Source organism: Homo sapiens, chromosome 10 (genome assembly GCF_000001405.40).
Source record: "Homo sapiens chromosome 10, GRCh38.p14 Primary Assembly".
NCBI lineage: Eukaryota > Metazoa > Chordata > Mammalia > Primates > Hominidae > Homo > Homo sapiens.
In genome coordinates this window covers 7,494,596-7,516,496 of record NC_000010.11, presented here as the reverse complement: position 1 = coordinate 7,516,496, position 21,901 = coordinate 7,494,596, and the positions used below count along the sequence as shown (strand labels likewise).

Below are 21,901 nucleotides of genomic sequence, written 5' to 3'. Positions count from 1 at the left end.
AAACTATGTTATACCATTCAGAAAAAATAATAAGCTCTCTAGGTAAAGTCCATAAACCTCAGGTTAAGAAATGTTAACCTAGAGGCCGGGTGTGGTGGCTCACACCTGTAATCTCAGCACTCTGGGAGGCTGAGGTGGGTGGATCACTTGAGGCCAGAAGTTCGAGACCAGCTTGTCCAACATGGAGAAACCCCATCTTTACCAAATACACACACACACACACACACACACACACACACACACACACACAATAGTTGGGCATGGTGGTGGCATATGCCTGTAGTCCCAGCTACTTGCTACTCGGGAGGCTGAGGCAGCAGAAATCTCTTGAACCCAGGAGGTGGAGGTTGCAGTGAGCCCAGATTGGGTCACTGCACTCCAGCCTGGGTGACAGAGCAAGACTCTGTCTCAAAAAAAAAAAAAAAAAAGAAAAAAGAAAAGAAAAGAAAGAAAAGAAAAAAGAAATGTTAACCTAGAAATATCCAGAAAGAAGGTAGTAAATAAATCCACATTTCATTCTGTCATTTAAAATTCATCAGGAGTTGAGCACAAATAAGGAGAGATAAGATTTTATTTAAAGTAAAATTAATTGTATTTAGTTAATTTATTTTAGGACCTCGGTGCAGAATTTCCATCTCTGGGTGGATACAATACTTTGATTTCTGAAGCAGAACAAATGAGTAGCGTTTCTGTCTCATCAACATGGTAAAGAAAGCTGCTCCACATTTACTGCTTTGTGTTTAATGTTTTGGAAACAGCAGCTTGAAAGACTGGAAACCCTGGAGCTAAAAATGAGCTTTCAGCAAACAGTCCTCTTCCGCCCTCATTTCACTTCTAGGGAGCAAGAAAGAGAGAGTGATATTTCCCAAATGGGAATGCCGTGAAAGACGATGAGCTGGTGGGGAACGCTTTCAAGAGCTGGATTTTATTGGTGACTCCTACAGTTTTCCTTATACATCTACTCAGCCCTCATATTTTCCCATTACAAATTATAGCATTTTGGAAAATGTATCTTATTTCCATATCCATTGCCAACTGTGTGTTTAAATTTATGCCATTTGTCCTGAGGGAAAGGAAACTAGAAATCAGACAATGTTAACACTCCGAAGCCCGACCCATCGAATTCAACCTCTTCTTTTTGTACAGAAGAGGCAAGTGAAGTGGAAGGAATGCTCAAGGTTATGCATCCACTTAATGTCAGGGCTGGAACTGAAATCTAGGGTGGCCCTTCTTTCTTTTCTTCTTTCTTTCTTTCTTTTTCTTTCTTTTCTTTCTTTCTTTCTTTTTTCTTTCTTTCCTTTCTTTCTTTTCTTTCTTTCTTTTTTTTGATGGACTCTGATTCTGTCACCCAGGCTGGAGTGCAGAGGCATAATCTTGGCTCACTGCAGCCTCCACCTCCCAGGTTCAAATGATTCTCTTGCCTCAGCCTCCCGAGTAGCTGAGATTATGGGCACGTGCCACCATGCCCAGCTAATTTTTGTGTTTTTAGTAGAAACAGAGTTTCACCATATTGGCCAGGCTGGTCTTGAACTCTTGACTTCAAGTGATCCTCCCACCTCTGCCTCCCAAAGTGCTGGGATTACAGGTGTGAGCCACTGTGCCCGGCCAGGTGGCCCCACTTTCTATATTGCTTTCACAGAGATGCCAGATCCAGTCTGGGGCAGGAGCCAGCAGCAGTGAATTCTAGAGACTAAGTTCATCAAAAAGTATATTTGCTTGTGCCTCAGTCTCCCCATACACAAAATGAGAGCGCAGACAAGGACCATGGTCACAGCATGAGGTTTATTCATACAAAAATACAGCTAATGCCTGCTGGAAAACCCTTTGATTTGTAATTGTTGATGAGAAGTCACTTGACAAGCATTCTTGAAGGCTGTTGTTGTGGTGAAGGTGAACGCAGTCCCACCTGGAGGCTGAAGAGCCCACCCACACTTAAGCCTAGAAGCCCAAAGAAACAGGATGAGAGGGTAATTCTTTCACGTGGAATCTCATTTTCTCAATCATTACCAGGCAACTCCAAATTTTCCTTTGAGGGTCTTCACCCTCTGACATCAGCATTGTAGAAACCAGGAGAGAGGAAAAGAGGGAAAGAGCAGAAGTTTTCTAAACGGGGGAAAGGAAACGTTTGTCGTCCCCACAATGTAATAAACTTGTTACAGGGTTTATTAAAGAGAAAACCAGGATGTGAGCAGAATTTCCTTTTTTTCTCCTGCCTGAGAATGCACTGGAATTTATTGTGCCTGAGCTTTCAAATCTGTTCCTGAGCTGTCAGCAAGGAGGAGTTGCAGGGTCTCAGTGGAGCCCTGTGGCCACGTTGCCCTCTACAAGATAGACCCTGCGTTACTCCTCTTCAAAGCCCAGCCCTGATCAGCCACACAGCCAGGAGCACCAGATAGGAGGTAAGCTCCCCACAGCTCCCAGTCATCGCAAAGGACATTACCATGCTGGAAATTAGGCAGACCTATCATTTGTTTGAGAACCACTTAAAAAATCCGCAGCACCAGTCCATGTCCTTTGTCTTGGCTTTGTCTTATCCTTTTAATTTAAGATTGTGGAGAAATGGATTTAGGGAAGAGATATCAGCTCCTCCTCCCTGGAGACACCAATATTGACTAACACTGAAAAAGCAAATAGTATCACATAACCTACTAAAATAAAGCAGGGAAAGTCATTATACTTTTACTTTATTGATCCAGTTCCTGGCTACATGGGGAAAAAAAAAAACTTACATTGTTGAAGCTGGCAATCTCTAATGCTACAACATGTTGTTAAAAAGTGGTGCATTTATCTGCACACAGGAAACAAGACATTATACTGAGCAGGAGCTGTGTTAAATAGTCCAGGGATATGCGTAACACTAAACAAACAGTGCTGGGCTAGGCCAGAAGGGAAAATAACCTCGTGAGGATGGGACGTGTGCATTTTAAAAAATTGTCAGACAGGTTTTCTGAATAGACAAAAAATACACTTCAAAGGCTTTCTTTTGATTTTGTATTAATGACTTCCAAATACATTTCTATGATAGCAACATCCTTTAAATGGGTCTTGAGAAGAGGGTCCATGCCAGCCTTGTACTAACCTCATTCAATATTTGTGAGTAAATGAATGGTACCCATTAAGTTCACATATTTAACTTTGAAAATTGGACTAATTTATAAATCATTACTAGGGTAATTACTAGGGTAATGATTTATAAATGAAAAATTGCAAGGATTAATATTTTTCTAGTCTACACACATGCATACATATATAAATATATATACATATATAAATATATGTATATACATATACAAACATGTATATACAAATATATGTATATACATATACAAACATGTATATACATATATAAATATATGTATATACATATACAAACATGTATATACATATACAAGCACATAAATATGCATACATGTGTATATATACACACTAAATATACATTGCAGCAAACACATTTTTGTTTGACAACCTCCTGGTTGCACATTTGACATTTGCAAAGTAACACATTTACCAAGAAAAAGAATTTGGATTTAATTGCTTTGATAAAGTCACAGTTTCCTTTGTGGTATTTAAAAGATCATGTTAGTACAAAGGTTTTCACAGGTCAGCAGCTTCTCACTCATTCTTTTTCACGAGAACTTTCCCAATCAATCAATTAACTAACAAGCATGTATTAAGGCAGGGGTCCCCAACTCCTGAACCATGAACCACTAGCGGACAGGTGGCCTGTTAGGAACTGAGCCACCCAGCAGGAGGTGAGTGGGGAGTGAGCTTCATCTGTATTTACAGCCACTCCCCATGGCTCATGTTACCGCCTGAGCTCCACCTCCTGTCCCTGAGACCCTCTTCGACTTCCTGCCATGGAACAACACACGGGCTTGCAGCTGCGTCCCTCCTATTTCTTTCTTCCTTTCTGTGACAACGGACAAGTTGCCCTTATCCCTCTGAGGAAGCTGTCCACCTGCACCTCCTGCCTAATCAGCAGGAGCATTAGATTCCCACACAAGAGCAAACCCTATTTGTGAACTGCACATGTGAGTGGTCTAGGTTGTGCACTCCTTATGAGAATCTAATGCCTGTTGATCTGTTGCTGTCTCCCATCACCCCCAGATGGGACTGTCTAGTTGCAGGAAAACAAGCTCAGGGCTCCCACTGATTCTACATGATGATGAGTTGTATGATTATTTCATTATATATATTACAAGGTAATAACAGTAGAAATAAAGTGCACAATAAATGTAAAGCACTTGAATCATCCCGAAACCATCTCCCCTCCACTGTCTGTGGAAAAATTGTCTTCCACAAAACCAGTCCCTGGTGCCAAAAAGGTTGGGGACTGCTGTATTAAGGTGTGTGTTCTGTACTAAGAATTGTATTGAATACAAAGAATTAATGATATTGTCCCTGCCACCAAGAAACATAGTTGAGTGGGAGAGATAGTTATCTTTTCCAGTAGGAGAGAGAGGAGTTTGTGCTTCAAGTATCATGAAACATTCTATACTATGTGAGTGATAAAGGCAAGCACTGTCCTAGGCGTCTATGTGCAGCTGAAGTCACTGAGGAGTGAGTAGATGGTGTTCAAGACCTTGGAATAGGAGTAGATCTTGGAAACACGGCGAAGAGGCAGAACACAGAAGCAGAGCCAGGAGTGACGTGTGCCAGATGATTTTAATCAGTGGTACAGTCTGGGGAACCAATACTCTAGATTTTATCCCAGGACAGACCCAGAACATCAGACATAATTAGATCATGCCGTTTAGCCTTATCTGCAGAAAACAGCTTTTCCGGAACTGTGTGTTGGTGTTATGTCCTTTCTTGACTAAAGTGAAGGAAGTCTTCTGGAAAAAGGTATTTAAAAAATCAGAACACTGCACTAGTCTTTTCAGTAAATGTTACAGGAAAAACTGGACATCCACATGTTTTTTAGAAAAAGAATATAGACACAGACCATACATCCTGTGTGAAAGTAATTCAAAATGGATCATAGACCCTAAATGTAAAAGCAAAACCATAAAAAATAGGAGAAAATCTAGATGACCTTGGGTTTGGTGATGACATTTTAGATATAACACCAAAGGCATGATCTATGAAAGAAGTAACTGAGAAGCTGAATTTCATTAGAACTAAAACTTGTACTTTGAGAAAGACACTGTCAAAAGAATGAGAAGACAAGCCACAGACTGGGAGAAAACATAGCAAAAGTCACATCTAATAAAGAATCATTATCCAAAATATACAAAGAATTCTTATAATTCAACTATAAGAGAATAAAAAACCTGGTTAAAAATGGACAAAATATCTGAACAGACACCTCACCAAAGAAAGCACACAGATGGCAAAGAAACATATGAAAAGATGCTCCTCCTCATATATCATCATGGAAATACATATTAAACAACAGTGAGTTCCCACTACACACTATTATATTATACCTGTTAGAATGGCCAAAATCCAGAGCACTGACAACATAAATTGCTGGTGAGGAGGTGGAGCAACAGGAACTCTCATTCACTGCTGCTGGGAATGCAAAATGGTGCAGCCACTTTGGAGACAGTTTGGCAGTTTCTCACCAAGCTAAATATACAGTTACCATGGGATCCAGCAATTGTGCCCCTTCCTATTTGACACATCAGGAGCATCGCCATCTTGGACAAACACTGCCATTTTAAGTTCCCCTAAATCCAGCCCCAAAACATCAGCCTGATGGCTAATGTCAGCATGAACAGAAACATTTCAACCCTTAGAAAACCTGCTCCGACCAGAAACATGCCAACCCTGAGATAACCCCAACTCCAACCAGAGACATTCCAAACCTACAATAAAACTCTCCTTCATACAGAAACATTCTGAGCCTGTGATAAGCTCCCCCTCCCTAAAGCCCTTAAATACCCTTAGTCTGTAAGAGAGAGCACTCCTAACTGAAATTGGCCAGAAGCCCTTCTCAGGTTTATTCTCCAAAATAAATCTGTCTTTGACTATTGAGCCACTTTCTGTGTTTCTTCTTTCTTCAACTCTTACACTATTTACCCCAAGGAGTTGAAAATCTATGTCCATACAAAACCATGCACACCAATGTTTATGGCAGCTTTATTCATAATTGCCAAACTTGGAAGCAATCAAGATGTCCTTCTGTAAGTGCATGGATAAATAAACTATGGAACATCCAGACAGTGGAATATGATTCAGTGCTAAAAAAGGAATGAACTATCAAGCCATGAAAAGACATGAAGGAAACTTAAATACATATTACTAAGTGAAAGAAGCTCATCTGAAAAAGCTATATGCCATATGAATCCAACTATACGACATTCTGGAAAAGGCAAAACTATGGAGACAGTAAAAAGATCAGGGGTTGCCAGGAGCTGGTGTGTTAGTCTGTTCTCATGCTGCTAATAAAGACATACCTGAGACTGTGTAATTTATAAAGGACAGAGGTTTAACGGACTCATGGTTCCACATTGCTGGGTAGGCCTCACCATCATGGCATAAGGCAAAGGAGGAGCAAAGTCACATCTTACATGGTGGCAGGCAAGAGAGAGCTTGTGCAGGGGAACTCCCATTTATAAAACAATCAGATCTCATAAGACTTGTTCACTACCATGAGAAGACTGTTGGGGAAACTGCCCCCATGATTCAGTTATCTCTACCAGGCCTGCCCTTGATGCGTGGGGATTATTGCAACTCAGGGTGAGATTTGGGTGGGAACACAGCCAAACCATATCAGTTGGTGAGGAGGAGGGATGAATAGGGAGAGGATTTTCAGGGCAGTGAAACCACTGTGTGTGATACCATAATGGGGGATACATGTCCTTAGACATTTGTCCAAACCCATAGGATTTACAACACCAAGAGTGAATCATAGTGCAAACTGGCCTTTGGGTGATGGTGATGTGCCAATGTAGGTTCATTAATTGTAAAAAATGTGCCACCCTGGTAGGGACGTTGATAGTTGGAGGAGGCTGTGCATATGTGGAGGGAGGAGGTATAGGGAAAATCTCTGTACCCTCTTCTCAATTTTGCTGTGAACATAAAGCTGCTCTAAAAATAAGGTCTATTTTTAAGTAATAATCATAAAAATATAGAGGCTGAACGAATCATTGATTGAAGGCCTTGAGGGAGCAGCAACGGACAGAGCTGTAAACCTGTGGGCACAAGGTCTGTGTTTAATTCTCAAGCTGCCATTCACCAGCCTGCCAAGTTTTTAACCTCTCTGAGCCTGTTTGCCCATCTGTAAAAGGCGAATGAAAATCAATTCAAAGGAATTTTTTCTATGGATTAAACTACATAGAGGAGCTTTAATAAAGATTTGTTTAAAAACCACCTGGCTATGACTTCAATGTTGCAGTGTGGATGGGACCCTGTCCACCACGGGGCCTGGAGTCTCTCACTGGGAGGCCACGGCAGAAAGTCTTTAACTCCAGGACCAGAAAAATAAGCCTCTCTTCTGCAGTAACTTGTGCATTTTGTCGTGGTTGGCTAGACATTTCAACCACATAAACCCCTTGACCATGGAGAAGTGCAAATCCAAAATGAAGGCCAGTAACTCACATGACGTGACAGTCTGCACCTCTGGGCACTCACTTTCCTTTACTCCCTCCCTCCACTCTCACATGCATTTTTCTGATCTTTGTCTCTTCCCTCAGATCTTATTGGCTGCACTCTCGCCAGCCTCCACAGTTGGTTCTTCAGCTTCAGTGGGACCTGCCATCTTCTGAGACCTTTGCTTTCTTCTTATTTCTGAGTTCCTTCCTATCCTGGTTTCCTTCCACTTCCAGCATAGCTTCCATCATCAGCCACTTCCACTACCCTCTGCACCTCTCCCTGGCCCTTTGTTTCCCTGTCACACAGGACCCCGTGATGGAGCCTTCTTTCTACCTGCTCCTGCCTGGAGGGCTAAGGGCGCTGCAGAAGAGCCTGGCTGTGCAGTCTGGTGGAGGCTTCCTCCTCAGTGCCTGCATCCACGCTCAGCTTGCTCTCCCTCCACAGGCCTCCAGCCATGCCCCAAGCCTCTCTCTCCCTCCACAGGGCTCCAGCCATGCCCCGGGCCTCTCTCTCCCTCCACAGGCCTCCAGCCAGGCCTCGGCCCCCTCTTCCCCTCCACAGGGCTCCAGCCACACCCTGGGCCCCTTCTTTCCCTCCACAGGCCCCCAGCCATGCCCCGGGCCCCTCTCTCCCTCCACAGGCCTCCAGCTACATCCTGGGCCTCTCCTTCCCACCACAGGCCTCCAGCCACATCCTGGGCCTCTCCTTCCCCCCACAGGCCTCCAGCCACATCCTGGGCCTCTCCTTCCCTCCACAGGCCTCCAGCCACATCCTGGGCCTCTCCTTCCCTCCACAGGCCTCCAGCCACATCCTGGGCCTCTCCTTCCCGCCACAGGGCTCCAGCCAGGCCACAGCCTCCCTGCTCTTGGGTGACTGTCTTGATTTCTATTTTCCAGAGTAAATAAAGGCCCCGAGCCCCCTCGACTTCCTGCCACGGAACAACACCCAGGCTTGCAGCTGCATCCCTCCTATTTCCTTCTTCCTTTCTGTGACGACAGACAAGGTGTCCCACCCCCTCTGAGGAAGCCGTCCACCTGCACCTTCTGCCTCATCGAGAAGGGCCTCTCTTCTGAACTTCACATCTTTCATCTCCCAGCATCTTTCCATTATCTTTTAAAATGTTCAAGTTAAAATGTTCTTTTTTTTTTTTTTTTTTTTTTTGGCAGGGTCTCATTCTGTAGCCCAGGCTGGAGTGCAGTGGCGCCATCTTGACTCACTGCAGCCTCAAACTCCTTGGCTCAAGCAATCCTCCTGCCTCAGCCTCCCGAGTAGCTGGGACCACACGCATGCACCACCACACCGAGCTAATTTTTGTATTTTTTTAGAGACGGGGTTTTACCATGTTGCCCAGGCTGGTCTCGAACTCCTGTGCTCAAAGGATCTTCCTGCCTTAGCCTCTCAAAGTGCTGGGATTACAGGCATGAGCCACCGTGCCCAGCCTCTATTTTTTTTTTTTTTTAAATCTCCCTCAACCCAACTTCATCTTCTATCTACTTTCTGGAGTCTCTGCTCCACTTTGAAGTCACAATTTGCATGGGCTGCTCCTGCTACATCCTTCTTAGTCTGCCACAATCTGGCCCCCATCCCAAATCCCCCAACATCTGCCCCTCCACCTCAATGAAACTTCTCTTGCCCAGGTTATTATTATTTTGTTTGTTTGTTTGTTTTGAGATGGAGTCTCACTCTGTTGCCCAGGCTGGAGTGCAGTGGAGCAGTCTCAGCTCACTGCAACCTCTGCATCCTAAATTCAAGCGATTCTCCTGCCTCAGCCTTCTGAGTAGCTGGGATTACAGGTGCGTGGTACCATTCCCAGCTAATTTTTGTATTTTTAGTAGAGTTGGGTTTCACCACATTGGCCAAGCTGGTCTTGAATTCCTGACCTCAGGTGATCTGCCTGCCTCCACCTCCCAAAGTGCTGGGATTACAGGCATGAGCCTCTTGTCCAGGTTATAAACAACCACTTCATCACTTTCAGTCCTTGTCTTACCTTTCCTCTCAGTCAAATTTGTTCAACTTACTTTTCTTGTCAAAACATGATTTTCCCTTGGTTTCAGAGATAATACCCCTGCGTGGGATTTTAGCCCCCTAAGCCCCCCAGATGCTCATGTTTGGTAACCCATGTAGGCCTTCCTGCCTCTCTGTCCATCTGTTAAATATTGACCTCCTCCAGGGCCTATCTATTAATAAGTAACTCTTTTCATCCCACACACACTCAGAACTCATCAATACCAGAGCTTTAGGGACCATCCCAGCTCTCTCATGAACCCCACACTCTCGCTCCAGCTGCCGACCAGTTACTTCTGGTGGGATGTCCCACAGACCCCTCAACTGCACAAGTGCAATATCTACTCATCCCTTCTCTTCCCCAAATCTGTCCTTCTTTTCATGTTCCATATCTCAGCAAATGGCACCACCAGTTAATCTGCCTAAGCCAGAGACCTGGAAGTCATTCATGGTTGCTGTGTCTACTTCAGCACCCTCATCCAATTGACCAAAAGCCTGCCTGTCCTATCTCTGGACCATGTTTTAATCCATTCTCTTGTCCCCAGGTCCACTGCTCTTAGCTCCATGCAAGCAAGACTCCTGGTCTCCCCCCAACACCCCAGCTTTCCTCCCATCTCTCCATGATCACATTGGCCAGCAGGACCTTTATGAAATACAGAGGTAGTCATGCTGTTTCCTTGCTTAAAATACTCCAGTGGCTTTATGTTGCCCTTAGGACAGGAACCACTCCCTTTCCCATGGCCTGCAAACCTTTCATGGTCCATGTCCTGATTCCAGGCTCAGCCGTGGACCCCCGGCCTTAGGACGCACAATTTCCCCTGCTAGGCACAGCCTCTCCTTCTCTGTAGCCCGTCTTTGTGAGTTGAAAGGGATGTTGCTGAGCTAAACCTTCCTCCTGCAGGATCTGTTCTATGAAACTGTATGATGATCACAGAGGAAGTTTGATGATGAGGCTCCTAGAGAAGCAGATGCCTTGTAAGCTCTCCGTCACTAAGGGAAGGATAACCCCTCAGACGTCCTTTCTTCCTGGGGATTTAAACTGGTTATCATTGTAAGGATAATGCAAAGAAAAATGAACCTATTTGGGATGGTCAGATGAGTGATGCCTATTTGTGAAAATAAACACAGCCTGGGCGTGATTTGTCATGGACATCTGGTACAGACAAGAAGAAAAAAAGGAAAGGGGGAGAAAAGATGTCCGGAGAGAAGAAGGGGAAGGAGGGGAAGAGAGCAACCACCAGCTGAGGACCAGAGCCTTTCCCCTCCCCCTAGCAAGGATCAGAAACAAGGATCAAGTGCCCTGTCCATCCAGGGAGACTGAACCCACTGCCTCTGAGTAACATGTTCTCAGGGCAAAGAGTTTAAAAGAAAGAGGAGGAGATGAAGAAGAAAGAAGTGGAGAAGGAAGAAGACGAGAGGGAGAAGGAGGGGGAAGAGCAGGAGGAAGAGGAGGAGGGGAAAGAGGAGGAGAACAAAGAGGAAAAGAAGGAGACAAAAAAGGAGAGGAAGGAGGAAGAAGAGGAGCAGGATGAGAAGGAGGAGGTGGAGGTGGAAGAAGAAGAGGAAGAGGAAGAGGTGGAGGAAGAGAAAGGTGGAGGAGGAGGAAGAGGAAGAGGTGGAGGAGGAGGAGGTGGAAAAGGTGGAGGAGGAGGAGGAAAAGGGAGGAAGAGGAGGAAGACGAGGAGGCAAATGAGGAAGAGGAGGAGGCCTGTATTGGTAACTTCCTGAAATTTTTACTTGTTATACTGAAATCATTTTCCCAATAAATTTAAGTACCTTGATTCACCATAGGTAAGAATCAGACTAAGAACGATAAAAAGGAAGAAGTGGCCTAAAAAACACAGACCAAAGGCCATCTTGATGGCAAATGCCACTGCCCCTGTAGGCAAACGCAGCAGGACCACTGCGCCCTTCGTGCCTGGCACATACGCATCACCTTGTGCTGGGGCCAGCTGGAGGGGCTCTGGTGGCTTGTTATCAAGGAGCCTCTAGTCTGACAAGCATGTTCTGCATGGCGTGGGTTCCGTGGCTCACTCTCAGAGCTTCTGTCTTTTGGAATCCCTGCAAGGGTCTTAAGGGCAGTTTCCACTCTAGTAGTTGTGAGAGCGCCAGGCAAGTCCATTTGCCTTTCTTTTCCTCTTCCCTTCCCTTCCCCAACTCTGCCCCCTCCCCCCTGCTACTCCTAATCCAATCTCTCACTACCCTATGGTGTTAGAAATCACAGTTCATAGATCAAAATGTATAAAAATAAATTATTTTAAAATCCATATTTTTCAGCAGCTTTTAAACTAGCCTTTCAGTACGTGGAATCTTATGAATATGTGAACTTTGACCTCATTCCAGTGCAGACGTATCACCACTATAACTTTGAATTACAGTATGTGGTTCTCTCTCAAACAATTATATTCACAAAACCCTTTTTTTAGAAAAATTTTATCATCTGTTCAAAATAGGTTATTCTGCATTCGGTTTATTATCATAAGGCCCTATGTGCAAGATAATCTTTACATGCAGATGAAATGTTAGCAAGAAATGCAAGTTTGCTGAGATGTTATTAAAAAGTCACATTATACTCTGAGACCTGAAAAAAAAGAAAAAAAAAATTAAAAGCCACATTAAGAAAAATAATCACTTATAAATTAATCAGATATAGCTACTTCTAAATTATACAAAATTTAAATGATTGAAATTATGCCACATAAGTTAAATAGACTCTTTAGCAGCAAAATAGAAAGATCTAGGTCATTACCTTTAAATTTACTCATAATTCTTGTTGTCTGAATCAGCTAGAGCATCAATTGTTCCACCTATATGACAACGTGATAAGTATGATAACTTTTCTATCTTGCACACATGAAGATTGCAAACATCAAATGACATTTATGTAAATGTATCATTTTGTTATTTGTAGAAAAAATAAAACTTTTGAAGTTCTCAGAATTAATAAGCGATCAGAATTAGCAAGTGCATGGCAAACACTCACTTTCCTTTTCCTGAGGTATGATTTTGGATAGTCTGAACGGAACTGGGAGGCCGTTGTATTAGAACAAGTCACTTGGCTGGTGAGAAAACTTAGCCAATGATTTAGCATGTAGTTCAGCTTTGGTTTTCATTCATGCGTTCATTCAAGTATTCACTTCAACTTGTTCTGTACGTCAGGCACTGTGCTAGGTACCAGGCTGTGGAAGAGTAAGAAGGAATATAGATAACTCTTCCAGTAATTTTGACCGGTGTAGTAGAAATAATTGATTGCCAACAAAAACCCATCCTCCCTTTATTAATAGTAGTAATGTTAGGCTGTGCACATGTTGCCCAGCTAGTGACTGAATTTCCTAGCCTCCCTCATAGCTCACTATGGATGTATGACTATTCTTGCCAGTAAAATGTGAGTGGAAGTGATATGATATGAGCTGTCATAGGTTTAGGGCTTCCTACCTAAGCTGTGTGTTCATTTTCCTTCCTGTGAGCTTGAATACGGAAGCACCTTATGGTCCAGCTTGAACCATGCACGTAGCAACACTCGAGCAGAAATTGGAAACCTATGACCTTTGGGTCAAATCCAACTCACTGATTGTTTTTGTAAAGATTAGTGAATTATCTCTGACTGCTTTTGTGCTACAACAGCAAAGTTGAGTAGTTGTTGTGAGAGGGATCATATGACCTACAAAACCAGAAAATATTACTATCTGGCTCCTGATAACAAAAGTTTCCTAACGCCTTTGTTAGAGGATGGCAAAGCAGCAGAAAATATGAAACTGGATCCCCGAATGACCACTTGGAGCAGAGTCTCCTCAGCAATCTGAACCAGTGACCTTGGGATGATTATATGAGGGAAAAATAAACTCCTATGTCTTTTAAACCAGTATTTTTTACAGTCCCTTTGGCCTCTTCAAGAAAAGTCAGTTGCTCATGCTGGTGATATATACAATAGAATTCTGCACATATTTGGAGATTTGTAAGTGTCCCAGGAAATAAACCAAACTCAAATCCATTTGGCACTGATCTCTAATCTTGTTGAGGTAAAACAATTTAAAATTCCAGTTTAGGTAAGATTATAACAATGAAAAATTACAGGGGTATGGTCAATAATAGAACACAAGTTTTTTATTTTATTCTACTTAAATAGCAGAATTACATGATTTTTTCCCTTTATTTTGATACTCTAAGACCTAGTTTGTACAATGAGAAGTGAAAACAAATTATCTTAATTTTAGTTCTCCTTCCTCATTAATTACCTAATTTTTCCATTCTTCTGAAAATTACTGTTTTAAAACACTTAGTGTCAGCTCAAACTTGTAGACATTTTCAAAAAATGAATAATTTTAAAATGTAAAATGAACATCATCAACACATCAATAATATAGACAGAACACTAACAAACTGTATTAAAGCTTTTGTGATTAGGTTCTCAGTTGAATTTTCTGAGGCTTTTATTTTTTTGTTAACTTAGAAGAACTCACCCAGAATGAAATGTATTTACTTTATTTAGAGACCCTGTAATTCTGAGCATGTATTTCCTTATGAGTGGGCATTTCCTAACCTAGCACTAAGCAAAGAGAAAGGTGACTTGCAAATTTCTTCTTCCACATTTCCAGGACTCTTCACTGTTTCGTTTAAGCCTGCCTTCAAGCGTCTATCAACCCCTGCCTTGTGTTTTATGGATTTTTTTTTAAGGCTGCAGGGGAATTGCTGTCTTCATCCATGTCAACCAGAAGAATCAGAACAGGAGAGAGTGGTCCTGGGCACAGCAAAGGGGCAGGAGCCAGGATTTAGGATTCCCTTAAGAGCTGGGAGGCCTTCTGTGAAGTTCATGGGATGAGTAATGAGGATACAGGAGAGTCACTAAGAGCTAGAAGCTGAGAGCACCCAGAGGACTGAGTTCTTGGTGAAGCTACAGGATTTTTTTTAGAAAGCAAAACAAAAGTGGATCTGAAGTTTGGATTGTTGAAATGTCAGGACCTAGAGACAGTGTATATAATGGAAAATAACTAGAATTTGCATGCACTGAAGGTTTAGAAACAGTAGTCTAACAAAAAGTGAGCCCTGGAAAACCTGCCTGGGAGCTTCCTTTGCAGGAAAAGCACACAGTTTGGACTTGCATTTTCTATTTGGCAGCTTAAACAAATGTCTCCAATGGCCAGGTCTTGTAGTTCCTACATCTCCCGCCCAAGTCTTTGACTCTACGCCATACACACAAGCCACGGAGAAAAGCTTCCTTAGTCTTTGGGGTCAGAGTAAGGAGTAGCAGGATTCAGAGGTGTTCTCCCACATGGTTTGGACAGGAGCAAGAGCCAACGCTGTGATTTGTGTATTTTCAAGACATCATTCTGGCTACTGTTGACAAGGTCCAAGCATCACCTTTAGATAGATGGGACCCATCTTCAATCACATTATATAGTCGGTTCCTCAGGAATTGAGGTGAGACCTAACAGAAAATCATGGCTGGTGGGCAAGACGATGGAGGATATAGAAACTGCTGCTTTATCAAGAGTTGAAGGTGACAGTCAGCCAGGAAGTGGTCAGAAGACGCAAGTCCCCTGAGCCGCGGGAGCACTGCATTGGGACAGTGCCACGGTGCTGGGATGGTGGGAAGAAGCAGCTGCCTGTGAAGGCTGGGACATTGCTCTGCGGGATGCAGAGGTGCAGCTGAGGAAACTGCACACCACTGCCAGTCCACCAGCACAGCTCCACGGTGGCCTGCGCCTCTAGAGTGAGGCAAATGGTCACTGTGGGCAGCGCCCGGCTGGAAGGAGATGCAGATGTGACTCCATTCCACCGACTCCACTCCACTCCTCCTCCAGAACTTGACCCTTGTGGACTGTAGCAACCCTAAGCTACCTCTCAGGCAGCCAGGATTCTGATCTGGAGTGGGGCGATTCTTTTTTTTTTTTTTTTTTTTTTTGAGATGGAGTCTCGCTCTGTCACCCAGGCTGGAGTGCAGTGGTGCAATCTCGGCTCACTGCAAGCTCCGCCTCCCAGGTTCAAGTGATTCTCCTGCCTCAGCCTCCCGAGTAGCTGGGACTACAGGTGTGTGGCACTACACCCGGCTAATTTTCGTATTTTTAGTAGAGACAGGTTTTTGCCATGTTGGCCAGGTTGATCTTGAACTCCTGACCTCAAGTGATCCACCTGCCTCGGCCTCCCAAAGTGCTGAGATTACAGGTGTGAGCCACCGTGCCCAGCCGATTCTTATTTCCATTCTGCAGCGTTTCATGAGAGTTCTCCTGCTGCACCGCAGGGAGAGGCGGGACACTGGCTCCACAGCCAACCCCTCTGCACCCCGGATTCATGGGCCTATCCAGCAGACACAGGTAGCCGCCCACAGCCCATTGCCCACCCGGAGGCTTTTTTCCAGTAGAGAGATGAGAGCGTGTGTTCTGCCCACGTACGGACTAGCAGTTTCCACATTTCCTGAGGTGCAGGGCACCGTGCTGGCTGCTCTGGGGCATTAAAAAAAATTAAGAGACTGGCCGGGCGCGGTGGCTCACGCCTGTAATCCCAGCACTTTGGGAGGCTGAGGCGGGTGGATCACGAGGTCAGGAGATCGAGACCATCCTGGCTAACACGGTGAAACCCTGTCCCCACTTAAAAAAAAAAAAAAAAATAGCCAGACATGGCGGCCTGCGCCTGTAGTCCCAGCTACTCGGGAGGCTGAGGCAGGGAGAATCGCTTGAACCCGGGAGGCGGAGGTTGCAGTAAGCCGAGATCACGACACTGCACTCCAGCCTGGACAACAGAGCAAGACTCCATCTCAAAAAAAAAAAAAAAAAGGCCGGGCGCGGTGGCTCACGCCTGTAATCCCAGCACTTTGGGAGGCCGAGGCGGGCGGATCACGAGGTCAGGAGATCGAGACCATCCCGGCTAAAACGGTGAAACCCCGTCTCTACTAAAAATACAAAAATTTAGCCGGGCGTAGTGGCGGGCGCCTGTAGTCCCAGCTACTTGGGAGGCTGAGGCAGGAGAATGGCATGAACCCGGGAGGCGGACCTTGCAGTGAGCCGAGATCCCGCCACTGCACTCCAGCCTGGGCGACAGAGCGAGACTCTGTCTCAAAAAAAAAAAAAAAAAAAAAAAGTTGAGAGATGACATAACTCCTGCCATTAAATAATTTACGATCTAGTGAGAGGTCTACAAGCAGTGCTGAGCGATGGTGCAGGAGCTTGTTCTTGCTCGCGCTAGAAGCTCCTTACTGTGCGCTGCAAAGAGAAGGGTCTTGCCCTGGAGGAGGAATTTAGAACATTGTGAAGCAAGGATAGATCATAAATGAGGCTAATGGGTAACTTCCCAGAGAAAATATGGATTCGAGCTGAGCAGAAGCTGAAATCTTGGCCCAGCATTAGCAAAACTGAAATCACACTTTGGAGATGCATTACTTTTTAAAAATTATTTACTGATTTAATGCATCCACTGAATTTATAATTTAAAACTAATTATAAATTGTATAATTATATTTTTATAATTTATATTTTAAATGTTTTATATTTCTATTTTATATCTTTATACATTTTTATTTAAAAACTTTTTATAACTTAATTGTTTAATTTATTATAATTATATAATTTTATTTTTATTGACGGGGTCTTGTTCTGTCTCCCAGGCTGGAGTATAGTGGCACAATCATAACTCACTGAAGCTTCAAACTCCTGGGTTCAAGCTATCCTCCTACCTCCACCTTCTGAGTAGCTAGGATTACAGGTACATGTCACCATGTCTGGCTAATTTTTAAGATTTTTGTAGAGATGGGAGTCTCACTACGTTGCCCAGGCTGGTCTTGAACTCCTGACCTCAACCTATCCTCCTGCGTTGGCCTCGCAAAGTGCTTGGGATTACAGATGTGAGCCACTGTGCCCAGCCAGCATGACTTTATTAAACAGTTCTGAGTTGAGCTGCTGTTCTTACCAGCAGGGCTGCACGATGGCTACGCATGTGGATGGTCACGGTCCCAGGGCAGGAGTCAACAGGGAGCTTCTTCTTATTATTATTATTATAGATTCAGGGGATGCATGTGCAGGTGGGTCACATGGGTGTATTTGTGTATTGCTGGGGTCCGGGCTTTTAGTGAACTGATCACCCTAATAGTGAACATAGTACCTGGTAGGCGATTTGTCCAGCTCTTGCCGGCCTCCCTCCTCCTCCTCTTTTGGAGTCCCCCATGTCTATTGCTTCCATCTTTATGGCCATGTGTGTCCCCTGTTTAGCTCCCACTTATAAGTGAGAACATGCAGTATTTGACTTTCTTCAAGAGGAAGTTTCTATGGGGTTAAACCAACTCTGCTTCCACAGGTCTAGAGCCAACTGCCCTCTCCGTTTTCTGTTTGCAATCCACTGAGAGTGGTGACAGGGGGAAAGAGGCCTGGGAAATTTGAGGTGGTGCTTTGGTATTTTTCCGAGTGAATAAAATGATGACTAGCCACGCAAATGTATCACAAAGAGGAGAGAGAGGCACAAGCCTTGGTGAATCTTTTTCCCTCCTTTTCAACTTTCCTTTGTTGTCACAACTATTTCAACTTACTTTCCAAGCATTTAATAGAGTCTTTTGAGAAAACAAGCAGGTCAAAGACTTGAAGAAACATATGCCAATACCACTTAGCAAATTTCCCACCCAGAAATCCACTTCCAACCCAACCATCTGCTGCTCTGTCAGCCCAAGTATTTATAGCCTGGTTCTTTGTCCCCATTACCAGGCCTTGCTTCCAGTACAGTGATTCCAGCTTTGTCTTCCTCCGCTTCGAAAGAAAGAACCAGAGAGTTTTCTTCCATTCCAGACATTATGGCAAAGTTACTCTCAATCTTAAAAAGATACGTGTTACCTCTGATCAAGAATTTGCCGCCTTTTCCGCCTCCATGGAGCAAAAATCACTGCTTGACTTCTCTCTTGTCATTCCAAGAGACGCTCTCAGATGGATTTGGTAATCAGAGTTAAGAACAGTGTCTATTAAGCCACTGGCATTCAGTCCTATTTTTAAAAGGCTGGATTTTATTCACAACTTGGGAAATAATATTATTGACCTAGAAAATCACAAGACTCAGAACAAGAGATTCGGACACCCATGGCAACAAAGGCAATCAGATCTATTCATCCTGGCCCAACTGGGAGGCTCTCATCTCTAAAAGGAACTCATCCCCCTCCATTTAGGCCTGACCCGAGGACCACAAGTCTGTGGTCCTTTATAGAAAAACTTCCTGGCAACATCAATGTCTCCATTCACATCACAGACCAGCTGGTGGATTCAAGACCCTTGACAAGGAGTTGGCTTCCAGATCCAGGCGTCTTTCTGCTGGAATCCTAAAGAGGCCAAGTTCCACCATTCTCATGACACCCATTCTTCATCATTTGATCAAAGGGAAACTTGACAAGTAGCACTCCCCATCGCCCCCACCAATGCTCCCCACTGTTCCCCTAATCCTAATACAAAGTGAAACCAGTAGCACCTTAGGAATGTAGAAACACACTTGCAGGTATCCCACACCTAGGTCAAACTCATATAACCTTGCAGACCAATTTTCTAGTGTTTGGGGCTTTAAAGGAACAGTTCCCCTTCCTTCCTCACCACCAAGACAAGAAAGCAAACAGGAACTCCATATTTACAGGTCAAGGTACCGGAAGGCTCCACAGCCAGGAAGGCTGGCAAGGTGGCTGCGGATTCTCAGGTGGGGACATAGACGTTGGTGTCCACCTGCTTGGGAGAGACAGGTGCACAGGAGGGGGAGCCCCCCAGGCCTGAGAGTGCAGACAGTGGGCCCCAGAGAGTAGTGCGTAGAGGCCCCTGGGCCCCAGGAGCACTCAGGCCTATGCTTGGGGTCAGGACACAGAAACTTGAGGGGTCTTGGGTCGTCCTTCTCCAGCTGGCCCACGCAGTCATAGGAAGCAGGCTCTCTGAGGTGAGGGGACCCCAGAAATGATGATGGACGTGGTGCTGGGGGCATGGAAACCCGTAGAGGGTCACGGGGTGAACCCCAAAATGCTGGGCAGACCTAGGACCCCACAACAAGAGTCCACAGCACAGTGCATAACAAGCCTGAAAGATGTCCTTTCCCTCTATCCCAGCCATCCTACTTTGGGAACGCGTGCCAAGCAAAAGAGACATGGTTATTTACGACATTTCAATAACTCACAGCAAGTCATGGCATACTGAAAAGTGTAAAAATGTTTTAGTATAATTGTTATTGATGTGGAGGAAAACCGCAGTATAATACTATGTGATCAAAGTGGCATACCATGGACTACAAAGCATGAAGCCAGTGATGGACTTAGACAAAAAAGCCTGGAAAAAATGTCACATGAGCCTCCCAGTAATCCAGAAGCTCCGGTTTGCCTCAATTATAAAGGATTTGGGGGTTATAGTCTGTATTTGCTGAAGTTTCTACAGTGAATTTCATTTATGACTGGAAAACAGGATGTTCAAACCCATTCTGCTCCTATCATCACTCAATGTCATCAAAACTTATAACTTGTAAAAACTGACTTTCTATTACTAAGGAAACTTGGTGTTCATTATTGAATTTATACACAAGGACTTCAGTGTAGACCAGGCAGAGGTGTGGAACTACAGGATATCATGTGCTGAGCACCCCAAATCACCCTCGATCCCATGACATTGGATGTGAACCTTTAGGGGGATCGACCAAGGCAGCTTTATAAGAAAACATGCTGGCTGGGCGTGGTGGCTCACGCCTGTAATCCCAGCACTTTGGGAGGCAGATCACCTGAGGTCAGGAGTTCAAGACCAGCCTGGCCAACATGGTGAAACCCCATATCTACAAAAAAAAAAAAAAAAAAAAAAAAATTAGCCGGGTGTGGTGGCACACACATCCGTAATCCCAGCTACTTGGGAGGCTGAGGCAGGAGAATTGCTTGAACCTGGGAGGCGGAGGTTGCAGTGAGTTGGGATCGCACCACTGCACTCAAGCCTGAGTGACAGAGTGAGACTCCGTCTCAAAAAAAACAAAAAACAAAAAACATGCTTACGGGTCCCATTTGTGATTTACATTGTTTAAATCAGAATGTTACTGAAATATGAGCAGCATAAACTTACTATTCCTGTGGTACATCAACAAGGATAAAGACAAAGTACATTTATGAATTAACTACAAGGAAAATGAAAATGAACCAGAAAACCTAGTTAGAATTCCAGCTCTGCCACTGCTGGTTGGTGACCTTCTGCACGTGGTTAATCCTCTCTCAGCCTGTTTCTCTCTGGGTAAAATGCCCTTAATGAGAGTACTGACATGTCTTTTTTGAAGGTTAAATGATATGATGTTTGGTGGACTCATTATTCATCATTGTTCTGGGGAACGTCAAATGCTGGACGCCAGGAGAGGGAGGGTTTCTCGGCCTCTCCATTCAGAAAGAGCCTGAATTGCTGCACTGAGCCGGATAAAACCTTCACATAATTCTGAGTATTGTTTAATCTTTAATCAACGTGAAACTACGTGTCCCGAGGGAAGCTGAAGCCACTTTCTTTCTTTGACCTCGTGTTTATGTTGTCCTACTTTGACATGGTTTGGAATCCATAGTTTTAGCCTCTTTCCTCTTTGTACAGAAGTTCCCATAGAGGTTGCAAATTGTTGTTATTTAAGTAATGTCTGCTGAGGAGGAAATCGGAGGAATGGGAGGAATAAGGCAAATTACTTGGCATACATTTTACGAGGAGCTTCCTAATGGAGCTAAGAACATGGCTGTGGTCAAAGCTGTGAAGTCTGGGGAAGATCACTGACCTCTGTTGGCCTGCTGAGGCCCCTGAGCTCAGGCAAGCAGCCAGTCTTTACCCTCACGCCCCAGGCTCAGTGCTCCAGCCGAGATCTCAGGGTCCTGCTCAGTGCCACCAAATCTATCAAGAGTAAGTTTTGTGCAATCTTTTGCTCCGTTTTATGGAAGACACAACAAAAAGGAACTCATGGGTCAGAAGGGATTTCCAGCATTTTTTAAAAAGTGTACAAATCCATGCAAATATAACAAAGAAAGATAAGAAGAACATTGGGGAAAAATAAAGAAAAAGATATGAGTTAAGGAATTCAAAAAGGATGAAAAACCAGAAAAAGCTAAAAAAAAAAGAAAAAATGGAAAGAACACCTGCCTTTTGGACTTTGGGGGCTTAAAAGTGTGTTTCAGACCAGTTCCTTGGTTTGATGTTGACACAAACTTGTGAATTTAGTCCAGCAGAAATTATCTTCATGATCTCCATCTCTGTGATGTAGGGAGATTAAGTCATTTGGCCAAAGTCAACCCACACACTCACTCACATGCACACAAAGTGCCGGCAGGAGTGAGACCTGAAGCTGGGCGTCTCAACTGCCAATCCGCTTTACTACGACAAGGAGCTGGCTTGCAAGGAAAGAGAGAAAAGAGTTTCTGAAA

General features: G+C 44.2%; 1 annotated feature.

Moving 5' to 3' along the window:
- Nucleotides 3,657-3,766: a silencer, noted in NCBI's record as "silent region_2113". NCBI's record gives its function as "represses an Ori minimal core promoter by ATAC-STARR-seq in GM12878 lymphoblastoid cells {active_cell/tissue: GM12878}" and the evidence as "EXISTENCE:reporter gene assay evidence [ECO:0000049][PMID:35858748]".